This window comes from Homo sapiens, chromosome 14, assembly GCF_000001405.40.
Source record: "Homo sapiens chromosome 14, GRCh38.p14 Primary Assembly".
NCBI classification, from domain to species: domain Eukaryota; kingdom Metazoa; phylum Chordata; class Mammalia; order Primates; family Hominidae; genus Homo; species Homo sapiens.
In genome coordinates, this window is record NC_000014.9 from 94,266,580 (window position 1) to 94,280,133 (window position 13,554).

Sequence of the window (13,554 nt, forward strand, 5' to 3'; positions counted from 1 at the left end):
CAGCTGTGTTTTTGGGCATTATCAGTAGATCCATCAAGAGTACCTGGCCAGTAGAGTGATCTCAAGATAGAAAAAAGAGATTATAACTAAAGATAAGTTTTGTTTCCAAGAAAATTTTACCCATTTTAGCTGCCTTGCTTGAACCTCAAAAGAAAAACTGTAATTCTGATGAAGCAAAAGTTTAAGGAAATGCTTTCAAGTTATAGACGAAGTAAGTGTTGTGAGGCATGAATATAAAAAAAATGAGAAATAAAAGCAACAAACGTTTCATAAGTAGAGGAAAGCATTAAAAAGAAGATTAAAACAGCACAAGTGTTAGATGACTGAGATTGTAAGAAGTGTGTTTTTGTATTTTAAACTAAATCATGTTGTTTTCTAGTAAAAGTTCTACAACAGGATATACAACTTCTGTCTCAGGGTTAGGAAAGACTTCTGTGCTTTCACTAGCTGGTAAGTAGCAATCTAAGTTCTTCAAAAAGTTGCTAAATTTAACAAAATATTATTTTCCTTAAATGACCTATTTCTTTAGTACTAGATGTAGTGTTTTCTTAAATCTAAATCTTTATCAGGTCCCTAAGAAATTAAACTTTTGTCTAGCAATTGAGAAAATATTTGACTAAACTATTTTGTCTTCACTGTGTCAAGACTCAAGAGTTTAGTACTTTTAAAATAGAAAAAGAACAAAAGTGATAGGGTATGTTTTGCCATACTGGGAAGGTTTACTGAGGCACAGACAAAAAGGTTTTGCAATAATTTTTAGGGAAGTTAAAAACAACAGGACTTCACTGTAAATCTAGATGAACAGCTAGACATTTACAATATTATGTATTTGGAAGTTTGTGGCAGGGGTCAGCACATTTCCCTGAAGGGCCAGAAGGTAAACATACAGGCTTTGTTGGCCAAATTGAACTCTGCTGTTACTGAGTAAAAGCAGCTATAGACAGTACATAATGAATAGATATGGCGGTGTTCCAATAAAACTTTATCTACAAAAACAGGCAGTGGATTGACCCACAGACTGTAATTTGCTGGCCTCTGGTTTATATAATAGAGCATAGAATTATACTATAAATAATGTAGACTATATTGTTAAAATTACTAGTGGCTAAATGTGTGTTTTTAACTTTATGCTTTGGAGATACTGGTTGAAAATTTTACTATTGATCTATGGTAATTTTTTTAGGTGTAAATAGTAGTGAATCTGCTCAAAGATCTGAAATTTTTAAGAGATTAGTTACATTTTCTTTTTAGGTTACATTTTGAGTATTCTGTCTTCTTTTTCTTTTTCTTTTTAATTCTTAGGAGGAATGTATATACTCATTGGCTCTTCTGTAAACTGGTTCATTTGCTGGAAGAGAAAATCTTTCTAGCATTAAAGCATCGACATTCACGTACAGTATATAGAGTGGTTTTCTGCAAGGTAGATGGTGATTATCGCAAGAAATAATTTGATAACAGAAAGTTGATTAACTAAAATTTTCCCCATATCTTGGACTATAAATAATAAAACCATTGATTACTTTCAGCTCAGTAAAGCTGTGAATTCTTTAGGAGGTACTAAGGAACATTCAGAGTTTAAGAACTTTATTTAAAATATAGAGTGCCTTTAAAAATTTTAGTGTACAAAACCAGTTTGAATTAGCTTCGAGCTAATGGTGCAGATGATTATAGATGTTCATAAGGGGTTCTTCAGACTTGGATGGATCTCACCTGTCCTCTTGGTACTTCTTCACTTAGCTGTAATGAGCATGTTTATTCATGATTTTGTAACATTTTTTGTCAAGAAATTTCTTTGTCTAAATCATTAAGAATATTGATTCAGAAGTGGTTTTTAAAAGTTTTAATTAAGTGCATTAATTTATTTAGTTTTAACTTTGCTAGTTTTTAAGTGACCTTAAGAACCAAGAGAGTAGATATGGTCCACAGATTCTAAAACTTACATCCAAAGTCTTAAGTTATGTATTTTATGAGGTGTATTTGTCTGTTCTCATGCTGTTAATAAAGACATACCCAAGACTGGGTAATTTATAAAGGAAGAGGTTTAATTGACTCACAGTTCCACACGGCTGGGGAGGCCTCACAATCATGGCAGAAGGCAAAGGGAAAGCAAGACGTGTCTTACATGGCAGCAAGCAAGAGGGTGTATGTAGGGGAACTGCCCTTTTATAAAACCACCAGATCTCGTGAGACTTATTCACTATCACGAGAACAGCATGGGAAAAATTCGCCCCCATGATTCAGTTACCTCCCACCGGGTCCCTCCCACAACACATGGGGGTTATTACAGTTCAAGGTGAGATTTGGGTAGCGACACAGAGCCAAACTATATCATGAGAGTAAATATTTTATTAAAATATTTGAAAAATATTCTATTTTAATGTCTCAATATTATTTTTAGTTGAGGGAGAACTGTAGGTTGAATGAAATATCTCCTAGAGTTCTTGGTTAGAAAAAGGTGCTTATTATTGTTATTCATTACTTAAAATAGAAACTGAAAATATTTACTATGTAATACATCTATAAAGAGAAAATGGAAGCAGAACATCTTTTAACAAATTTGTCAGATGTTTGCATAGAGAAGAGATCTTATTTGTCGGACTCAAAACAGGCTTCAAGATGATTATGTCATTTGAGATGAACCTTAAGGTATGCTAGGATTTTGACAGGCAGAGATGTGTATAGAATAACATTCCATTCACAGTACCGGTCATAAACAAAAGATGATTGTTGGTGTTTTCAGGGAGCAGCAGCTGACTAGTTTGGCTGGAGTGTGGAGTGAGTATAATGGAGTAGTGTTACATAAAACTGTAAGGAGGCCGGGCGCTGTGGCTCACGCCTGCAATCCCAGCACCTTGGGAGGCTGAGGTGGGCAGATCATGAGGTCAGGAGATCCGGATAATCCTGGCTAACACAGTGAAACACTGTCTCTACTAAAAATAAAAAAAAAAAAATTTAGTCGGGCGTGGCGTCAGGCGCCTGTAGTTCCAGCTACTCAGGAGGCTGAGGCAGGAGAATGGTGTGAACCCGGGAGGCAGAGCTTGCAGTGAGCCGGGAGAGAGAGCGAGACTCCATCTCCAGAAAAAAAAAAAACAAAAACAAAAACAAACAAACAAACAAACAAAACTGTAAGGAAAGGTCAGAGTCAGAGCTTGGAATGCCAGATTGGATACTTTTTACTTAACACGAATCCACTGTTCATTGTGTGGGGACTTATGCCTGTCTTCAGTTATACTACTCAAAACTGTTCAGGAAAGTCTGAGAAACTGTCACAGCCAAGGAGAGCCTAAGGAGAACTAACAAGTAAATGTGATATAGTATCCTGGATGGGATCCTGAGACAGAAGAAGTTGCTATTAGATAAAATAATAACTACTATGGATTTTAGTTAATAATGTATCAGTATTGGTTCATTAAATATAATAAATATAGCATACTTATGTAAGCTGTTAGTAGAGGAAATTGGATGAGGGGAATATATGAGAATTATTCTGTCATCTCAATTTTTCTGTAAATCAAAACTGTTCTGAAAAAGACAGTTTATTTAAAAAAATAACATTTACAGTATCTTCAAAAACACTAAGTGCTCAGGGACAAATTTAACAAAATATGCTAGAGATACATAAAAAACTTTGAAATATTGCTGAAAGAAGCTAAAGACCTAAATAAATGGAGAAATATAACATGTTTATGGATTGAAAAACTTAATATTGTTCCAATGTCAGTTTTTTTCTAAATTGATCCAGAGATTCAGTGAAATCCTAATTAAAATTCTAGTAGTCTTTTTGCAGAAATTTATAAGCTGATTCTAAAAATCTGTATTGAAATGCAAAAGGACCCCAGTGTAGCCAAAATAGTTTTGAAAAAGAAAAAGCTGGAGAACTTAAATATAAGTTTGATTTCAACAATTACTATAAAATGCTGGTAATCAAGACATTGTGTTCTATGTTGTCATATATAGTCAGTAGATTTTAACAAAGGCTTCAAAGATAAATCAATGGTGATAGAATAATATTTTAAAAAATGGTGCTGGATGGACCAATTCCTGGAAAGACACAATTCATCCAGGTGCAGTGGCTCATGCCTGTAATCCCAGCAATTTGGGAGGCAGAGACGGGTGGATCACCTGAGGTCAGGAGTTCAAGACCTGCCTGACCAACATGGCAAAACCCTATCAACTAAAAATACAAAAATCAGCTGGGTGTGGTGGTGTGCACCTATGGTCCCAGATACTCGGGAGGCTGAGACAGGAGAATCGCTTGAACCTGGGAGGACGAGGTTGCAGTGAGCCAAGATCATGCCAGTGCACTTCAGCCTGGGAGACAGAGTGAGACTCCATCTCAAAAAAAAAAACAACAACAACAACAACAAAAAAAGACTCAATTCAAAACTCACAGAAGAAGAAATAGACAATCTGAATAGGCTCATATCTATTAAAGAAATTGAATTGGTAATTAATAATCTTCCAAAACAGAAAGCATCTAGCCCAGATGGGTTCACTGATAAATTCTACCAAATATTTGAGGAATAAATTTTACCAATTATCTACAATCTCTTTCACAAGATAGAAGCAACGGGAATACACCCTAACTCATTCTGTGAGGTCAGCATTACCCAACTACCAAAGTCATTCCAAGAAAAGAATAATACATACCAACATCTCTCAAGATCACAAATGTGAAAATTATCAAAAAAATTAGCAAATCACATCCAACAATATATAAAAAGAATTATACACCAAAACTGAGTAGGATTTATAACAGTTATAGAAGACTAATTCACCATTTGAAGAACCCTTAATGTAATACATCACACTAACAGGCCAAGGAAGAAAAATCACATGATCATGGTAATACATGAAGAAAAGACATTTGACAAAACCCAACACCTATTCATGATAAAAACCATCAGTAAGCTAGGAATAGAGAACTTCCTCAACTTGATAGGGAACATCTACAAAAAACCTACAGATAACATCACAGTAGTGAGGAACCAGAAGCATTCCCTCTAAGATCAGGAACAAGACAATGATGTATTCCTCTCACCATTCCTTTTTACCATCATACTGGAAGTTCTAGAAAAGGAAAGAAAAGATATACTGATTTTGGAAGGAAGAACTCAAATTGTCTTTGATCACAGATAACATGATCATCTATGTAGAAAATCCACAAGAATTGGCAAAAACACTCCTGGAACTAAGAAGTGATTATGGCAAGGTTGCAGAATATAAGGGTAATATATGAAGGTCAATGTAAGGTTAATGTGCAAAGTTGAGTATGTCCTATATTCCAGCAGTGAACAGGTAGGAATTTAAAATTAAAAGCAAAATACCATTTACTATCAGCACTCAGAAAAATGAAATACTCAGGCATAATTCTAACAAAATATGTACAAGATCTATATAAGGAAAACTACAAAATTCTGATAGGAGAAATCAAAGAACTAATAAAGAAGGAGATGTCTCATGTTCATTGCTAGAAATACTCAATATTGTCAAGACGTCAGTTCTTCCCAACTTGATCTATAAACTAAATGCAGTCTCAGTCAAAATCCCAACAAGTTATTTGGTGGATATCAACAAACTGTTGCGAAGTTTACCTAGAGAAGAAAAGTCCCGGAATAGCCAACATGATAATGAAGAAGAACAAAGCTAGAAGATTGACACCACCTGACTTCAGGACTTAGTATAAAGCTACAGCGATCAAGACAGTGTGGTATTGGCAAAAGAATAGTCAAACAGATTGAAGGAACAGAATAGGAAGCCCAGAAATAGACCCACGTAAGTGTAGTCACATGATCATTAACAAAGGAGCAAAGCCAATACAATGGAGAAAAGATAGTCTTTTCAAACAAATGCAGCTGGAACAATAGGACACCCACATGAAAAAACAAAATTAGATCTTTTACACCCTTCACAAAAATGTATTCAAAAATGAATCGCTGTTCTAAATGTAAAATGCAAAACTATAAAATTCCTAGAAGTTAACATAGGAGAAAATCTAGATGACCCTGCTTATGGTAATGACATTTTAGATACCATGTCAAAGGCGCAATCTATGAAATAAAGAATAAGCTGAAATTCATTAAAATTAAAACTACTATTTGAAAAATACTGTCAAGAGAATGAGAAGGCAAGCCACTGACTGGGAGAAAATGTTTGCAAAACACATAATCTGATAAAGGACTTTTATCCAAAATATACAAAAAACTTGTAAAACTTAACAGTAGGAAAACTAACAACCTGATTAAAAAATGGGCAAAGACTTGAATAAATACCTCACTGAAGAAGATATATAGATGGAAAACAAGCATATGCAAAGATGTTCCTCATATGTCATCAGGTTTATGCAAATTAAAACAATGAAGCCCCATGACACACCTATTAGAATGGTCTAAATCCAAAACGCTGACAGCAAATGCTGGTGAGGATGTGAAGCAATGGGAACTCTCATTCATTGCTGGTGGGAATACAAAATGGTACAGCCACTATGGAACATCAGTTTGGTAGTTTCTTACAAAACCAGACATTCTTACCATATGATCTAGCAGTTGTGCTCCTTGGTATTTATCCACAGGAGTTGAAAACTTACATCCACACGAAAATCTGAGCATGAATGTTTATTCATAATTGCCAAAATTTGGAAACAAACAAATTATTCTTCAGTAGGTAGATGAATAAACAAACTGTGATACATCCAGACAGTGGAATATTATGCAGTGCTAAAATGAAATGAGCTATCAGGCCATGAAAAGACATGAAGAAACCTTAAATACATACTACTAAGTGAAAGAAGCAAATCGAAACATTCCAACTATATGACATTCTGGAGAAGATGAAACTATGGAGACAGTAAAATGATAAGTAGTTGTCAGGGGTTCGGGGGAAGGAGAAATGAATAGATGGAGCACAGATAATTTTTAGGGCAGTGAAAACACTCTGTATGATACCAAAACGATGGAAACATGTCAATTATATATTGTCCAAATCCGTAGCATGTACGCCATTAAGAGTGAATCCTAATGTGAACTGTGGACTTTGGGTGATAATGACATGTCAATGTGGGTTCATCAATGCAACAAATGTACCACTGGTGGGAGACATTGAAGTTGGGAGGCTGTATATGAATGGGAAGATATGGGAGATCTCTGTACCTTCCACTCAATTGTGCTGTAAACTTAAAACTGTTCTAAAAAATAGAGTCTACTTAAAAAGTAGTGCTGGAACCATTGGATATCCATATTAAAGAAACAAAAACAAAAACAAACCCTGAACCTTAATTATTTGTTAAATTTATATAAATTTAAGGCATACAAGTTCAGTTTTATTACATGGATATATTACACAGTGGTTAAGTCTGGGCATTTAGTGTAACCTAATAGTGTACATTTTACCATTAAGTAATTTCTCATCCATCATCCCCTCTGACACTCCCACCCTTTCTAGTCTCCAGTGACAAGTATTCTACATTCTATGACCACATGTACACATTATTTAGCTCCCACTTATAAGTGAAAACAGGCAGTATCTGACTTTCCGTTCCTGTGAATCTCAAGTCTTATCACTATACACAAAATTATACTATACTCAAAATGTATTATAAACCTAAGCATAAAAGTGTCTATATTTTCTAAAGAAAATACAGAAGAAAGTCTTTGTGATTTTGGAATACACAAAGATTTATCTTGACCATAAAACAAAAATATCAACACACTGGACTTAATCAAAATTAAAGCGTCTGGGCTTTGAAATAGAGCATTAAAAAAATAAAAGGCAAGGCATAGATTTGGAGGAAATACTCATAGCATATGTACCAGACAAAGAATTTGTATCCAGAATATATACAAAGATGTCTTTGTAAAAATTAGGCAACCAATTTTAAAATGGGAAAAAGGTTTGAACATGAACTTCACAAAAGATACACAAGTAAGTGCATGAAAAGATGCTTAACGTCCTAATCATTAGGGAAATGGAAATTTAAAAGCAATAAAAAAAGCACCCAAGGAGATATCACTTCACACTTGCTAGAATGTCTAAAACTAGAAAGACTCACAATATCAAGTGTGTGTGAGGATGTGGAGTAACTCTCCAGAATACTCACATGTTCCTGGCAGAAATGTCAGGAAAGAAAAGAAATTCTGCACATCAATTTGGCAGTTTCTTTTGAAGTTAAATATATATTTAGTCTATGACCCAGCACTTCCACTCCTTGGCATTTACTGAGAAGAAACTAAAACATATGTCCACACACAGACTTGTACGTGAGTGTTCATAGCAGCTTTATTTGTAATATATAAAAACTGGAAAAAAATAGAAATGTCTATCAACAGATATTATGGGTAAACAAATTTTGACAGATTCACACAATACCAGTCAGAAATAGAAAGGAAGGAAGTATTGATACATAAAACATGAATGATTTTCAAAATTATGCTGAATGAAAGAAGCCAGACAAAAAAGAGTATATGCTGTATGTTTTCATTTATATAAAATTCTAGACAATACAAACTAATTTATAGTTGACAGGAGTGGTTTGGAGAGGGAGGAGGAGGATTGTGATGGGGTATGAGGGACTGTTTCATAGTGATAGACATGTTCACATCTTGATTGTGGTGATGACTTCATGGGGGTGTACATATGTCAAAACCTTAACTTTTTGCAGTTTGTTGTATGTAAATTATACCCTCATAAAATTGATTTAAAAGGTGAAAAAGTTAGCTATCATTAACCTTTTCTTCTCTTTGGTTACCCTCTTTGTTAGTATATTTGGTATGTCTGACTTTATATGTATTGCTTTCAGATGATTCATTCCGGACTCGTAATGCCAGTAGCGTTCCATCTTCCTTTTCTCCTAATACTCCCTTACCGAGTACTTCCCGTGGGACAGGTAACTCAGTTGACCCCAAGAGCAGTGGAAGTAAAGATACACAACCACGGAAGGCTACCTTGTAAGTAATCAAGTGATGTCAGACTGAGTGTATTATCCTCCTCTTTTGCTTAACACACTTTCCTTCCCACTTAAGTACTTTCCAAAGAATAGAAAATGTCTGTGATGAGAAAATGTTATAAATTAAAGGGTATTATTGTCACATGTGACTCTGTTATGTTAGTTTATATAGAATAACTTATATATGGCAAAGGCATTATAACCTTAGGGAATCAACAGGAAACATTTAAATGGCTCCCACTAATGTCTGAAATCTATTTTTTTTCTATGAAATGTTTACATTTAGGGAATTTATCTCTAAGAAGGCATCCCTTTAAACACCTAGCTTAAGGATATGGTATTTAATCACCCAGTGTGCAGAAAGATTGGTAAAGCTGATGTCACTTAAGAAATAAGTGGCAGCATGGAACCCAGAATTGTGAGTCCAATAAACTGAAGAGATTTACAGACTGTACTTGTGTCTTGAAGCTGAGGTTATAAAGGGCCTCCTTTCTCCTTTTCCCCCATGATTCCTTTTAATGTGCTGTTTGTATCTTGATTTGCTGAAGTCTTTCTTTTACCTTAAATATTTAAGAGAGGGGTACCATAAAAATCACCATGATAAGAGACTATATCAGGGTATAAATGATTCAGCCAGGATACCCAAACCATAGTTACAAGTTAGCCATTTCATATAGGACACCTGAACCTTCTGGTTGGAACAGACTTTTAACAAGATTTAGATTTTCTTTTAAATGTATTTTAGTGAATGCATGGGCATTTTTGAATAAAGTTTCTTAAATACATTCTTTTGCAAAAACTGTGCTGGAGTCCCTTTTAGGATCTGATTTAGGCTGTTTTGCATTGCTATAAAGAAATACCTGGGCCTGGGTAATTTATGAAGCAAAGAGGTTTAATTGGCTCATAGTTCTGCAGACTTTACAGGAAGCATAGCGGCATCTGCTTCTGGGGAAGCTTCAGGAGGCTTATTATCCTGGTAGATGGTGAAGCAGGAGCAGGCACATCACATGGTAAAAACAGGAGCAGGAGAGAGAAAGTGGGGTTGGGGGAGGTGCCACACACTTTTAAATGATCAGATCTTGCGAGAACTCACTGTCACAAAGAAAACACCAAGCCGTGAGGGATCAGCCCCATGATCCAAACACCTCCCACCAGGCCTCATCTCCAGCATTGCAGATTACAATTCAACATGAGATTTGGGCAGGGACAAACATCCAAACTATGTGTATTCCAAATTGTAATTGGTCGTTGGGTATATGCCCAACTTCATTCAAAATTTAGAAATAAGTTTAGAAATAAATTTATTGACTAGAGCTCAAGGAAAGAGGACCAATGTACTATTACAAAAATGTAATAGTAATAGAAAAAAATGAACATTGATATTACAGGTTAATGTCAATGCAGAGTATATTTTTATTTACAGAGAATGCTCTTTAGCTATACAATTATTGCTCCCATGATTATACGATGGAAGTTCCACTTAAAAGTCATGAAAGTGCCAGGTGCAGTGGCTCACGCCTGTAATCCCAGCAATATGGGAGGCCGAGGCAGGTGGATCATCTGAGGTCAGGAGTTTGAGACCAGCCTGGCCAACATGGTGAAACCCTGTCTCTACTAAAAAATTACAAAAATTAGCTAGCTGTGGTGGCATGTGCCTGTAATCCCAGCTACTCAAGAGGCTGAGGCAGGAGAATCGCTTCAACCCGGGAGGCGGAGGTTTCAGTGAGCTGAGATTGCGCCACTGCACTCCAGCCTGGGCAACAAGAGTGAAACTCCGTCTCAAAAAAAAAGTCATGAAAACAGAGGCAGGACATGGTAATGGTGTATAGAGAGCTTTGTGTGCCTCGTTCCCAGCAGCAGCTAAGTGGTTGTGCAAAGTTCAACTCAGCGCACTGGCCCTCGCTGTGCATGTCTGTCACATGACAGGGCTGTCTCATGGTTCCTCCTCCTCTAAGGTGCCTTCTAGCTCTGGCATCCTGAAATCCTCTTTATTACCCTAAACCCTCTTCCTCTGAAAAGATTGCCCTGAAATTCTTCTGTTGAAGAGCATATTTAGTAACATCAAAAGTAATCTCTTGTCCACTTGCTATATTTTTCTAAATGCCATAGGCATTTTTTACAGTAAAGACCATTGAAACCCAGTATATTTATGCTGGTTCTCCTTTCTTTCAGATTACTCTCTTTATCTGTTGTTTCACTGTTGAGCATGCTTTTCCTTTTCATAGACTGAATTTTTTCTTGTTCAACATACGTAGTATGTAGTTATTTATATAATTTATATATATGTATAATTGATTAAAAAGTGAATCTAGAAACAAACATTTTGATAACACATCAGGTTTATTTAGTCTTTTCTGATTCTAAAGGAGGGACGTTGATATCCACAGTTGCTTTTTTAACTTGTGACTGGGTATACAAGTTTGTAACTATATTTCCATCTGATGTGGCACTTATATGGATCTCTCTTGAGTGCACACTGCCACATGGCTGGATGGGTGATGATATCCACATTGGTCTTTCTTCTGTGAAATAGTATCCACAATTCAAAACAGGCCATATCCAAGTGAAAATATGTTCTTTTCATTTAAAATAAGCCTATGAGGTGATTTTGGAAAGTATAATTTATCTTAATTTTTGCTTCTCAAATTCTATGCAATACATTCCCCAGCTTTTCAGTGTCATTGAGATGACACATTTGGTATTTAGGAATATTAGTGTCTTAAAGGAAGCATAGGTATGTTATTATATCTTGTCTTTTAAGGCAGTTCATATATTTATGCCTATGTAACTTCCATTATGGTTATACAAAATTAAAAATGTAGGAAAAATATGAATTAAATTGAATGCTATGTTATATATATACACAGAATTTTTGGTAATTAAAGATCATTCCAAGTAATCTTTAATGTGTAATTCATTTTTTCCCTTAATCAGACTTCTCATATATTAGAATTATTCAAAGTAGAGTATCTATATATTTTTAATTTACTTTGTACACATTATATGAATAACATTTTTCATATTTTTTTCTTTTTCTCCCTTTCTCACTCCCTCCTTCCCCACCCTCCCTCTCTTCCTTCATTTCTTTCTTCCCAAAGAAAATCCAGAAAATCCAATCCTTAAATCAACTGCTTGATGAAGGAGGCAAAACAAAGGCAGCAGGAGATAATGTGATTGGTACACAAAAGCTAAAGCAGTGGCTGGGGCTTTGTTTTTAAATTTTGGGTTTTTTTTTTTGTTGTTGTTAATGAGCAGAAAGAGAGACATAATGACAGCTGATGTTAAACTTTTCATATTTCAAATTAGATTCCCTAGGAGGTATAATATATATTTCTTGAGTAATAATGTGGTTACGGAATTCCAATGTTATAGTGAAGTGTAATGAAAAACATCTCTAGGAATGTGCTTTAACCACTGCTGCAAAAGAGACAAGTCTGCATTTATTTGTGCAGGAAACCAGCCATTTAATTGTTCTAGAGTTTTAGCATTTAAAAATCGTATGAAAGTCTACATCAGCTGAATTGTCCTAGCTTGATAAGCACTTGGAGGGGGACTTGGAAGGTGAGAAAGATACTGCATTTTCTCATGAGTCTCCAAGCCCACTTGAAAAGTCACACTGAAAGGATGCAAATAGCCGTCTGCGATTTTGGCGGCCCTCCGGATTGTGGTGACAATATGTTGTACCCGGACATTCCCAAATTTAAATTTGGCAGTGAAAATTCCACAAAGATTTCTGGTAACTTTGAGCTATAAATACCTTAAAAATAATAGATTGATGATTTTCTTTATTTCCTAGAGAATTTATTTTATAAATACTTTGTTTACATTTTAGATTGTACTTGTCTTTATTTAAAATGATGAATCTAGTCTGAATCAGCTGTTATTCCAAGCTATCATGCTTAAGCTATGTCAACAGCATTTATTTGTACTAATGCTAATATTTCCATCAAAATTTGCCTGTGGAATATATACAGTTCTTAATTTTAAACTGTCAGTTCTTGAGATATACCGTGTGAAGCTATTGTCAGCTTCTCTATTTCAAAATGCAATCAGCATATAACTATATTGATATTAGAAGATATTTGTTTTTTAAAATATATTGATGTATGATAAAGATGATCTAATTTGTGAATGCATATGTATGTGTGGTTACTTTTTATAATGTGAAATAATGAATAATGAATTTACTCAAAATAAAACATAGGTTAATGAGATACCTGTGTTTGTGAAAAAAAGTCTTAAATACTTTCCTGCAGTTTTTATTCTATAATTAAAGAGTAAGATAGTTCATTTTTAGGTAGTGAATAAAAGAAATATACCAGCGTCAACTATAAGAGCATAGTTACTCAGTGAGAGACCTTTTCATGCCATTTGTTTTCCTTCTTCCTTCCATATGGCTTCTTTATGGCTATTTTTAGTGATTCTTAATAATATCCTTTGCCAAAGGACAATCAGGTAAATGGAATTGTTACTGCTCATTTTGTCAGTAGTTAAAATTCAATAGGTATGAGAAATTTGACAGTACTGGTTAATCAGTATACTCGCTGTGGATTTCATTTAACTGTTTTCATTATGTCTCCTACTAGCACCAATAATGTGGAACTGAATATATT

The 13,554-nt window shown here is 34.9% G+C and overlaps 1 protein-coding gene across 10 annotated transcripts in view; it reads left to right on the forward strand.

Annotated features, from left to right (window-relative positions):
* Positions 1 to 13,155, forward strand: part of PPP4R4 (protein phosphatase 4 regulatory subunit 4) — a 105,413-nt gene extending 92,258 nt beyond the window's left edge. For all 10 annotated transcript variants that reach the window (NR_145441.2, NM_001348144.2, NM_001348143.2 and 7 more), the window contains 3 exons: positions 380 to 450; positions 8,795 to 8,942; positions 12,040 to 13,155. Coding sequence is in view for 9 of the 10 variants with exons in the window: in NM_001348144.2 (NP_001335073.1) it covers positions 380 to 450; positions 8,795 to 8,942; positions 12,040 to 12,064 (244 nt within the window). In the remaining variant the exon portion in view is untranslated. The remainder of the gene's footprint in view (positions 1 to 379; positions 451 to 8,794; positions 8,943 to 12,039) is intronic.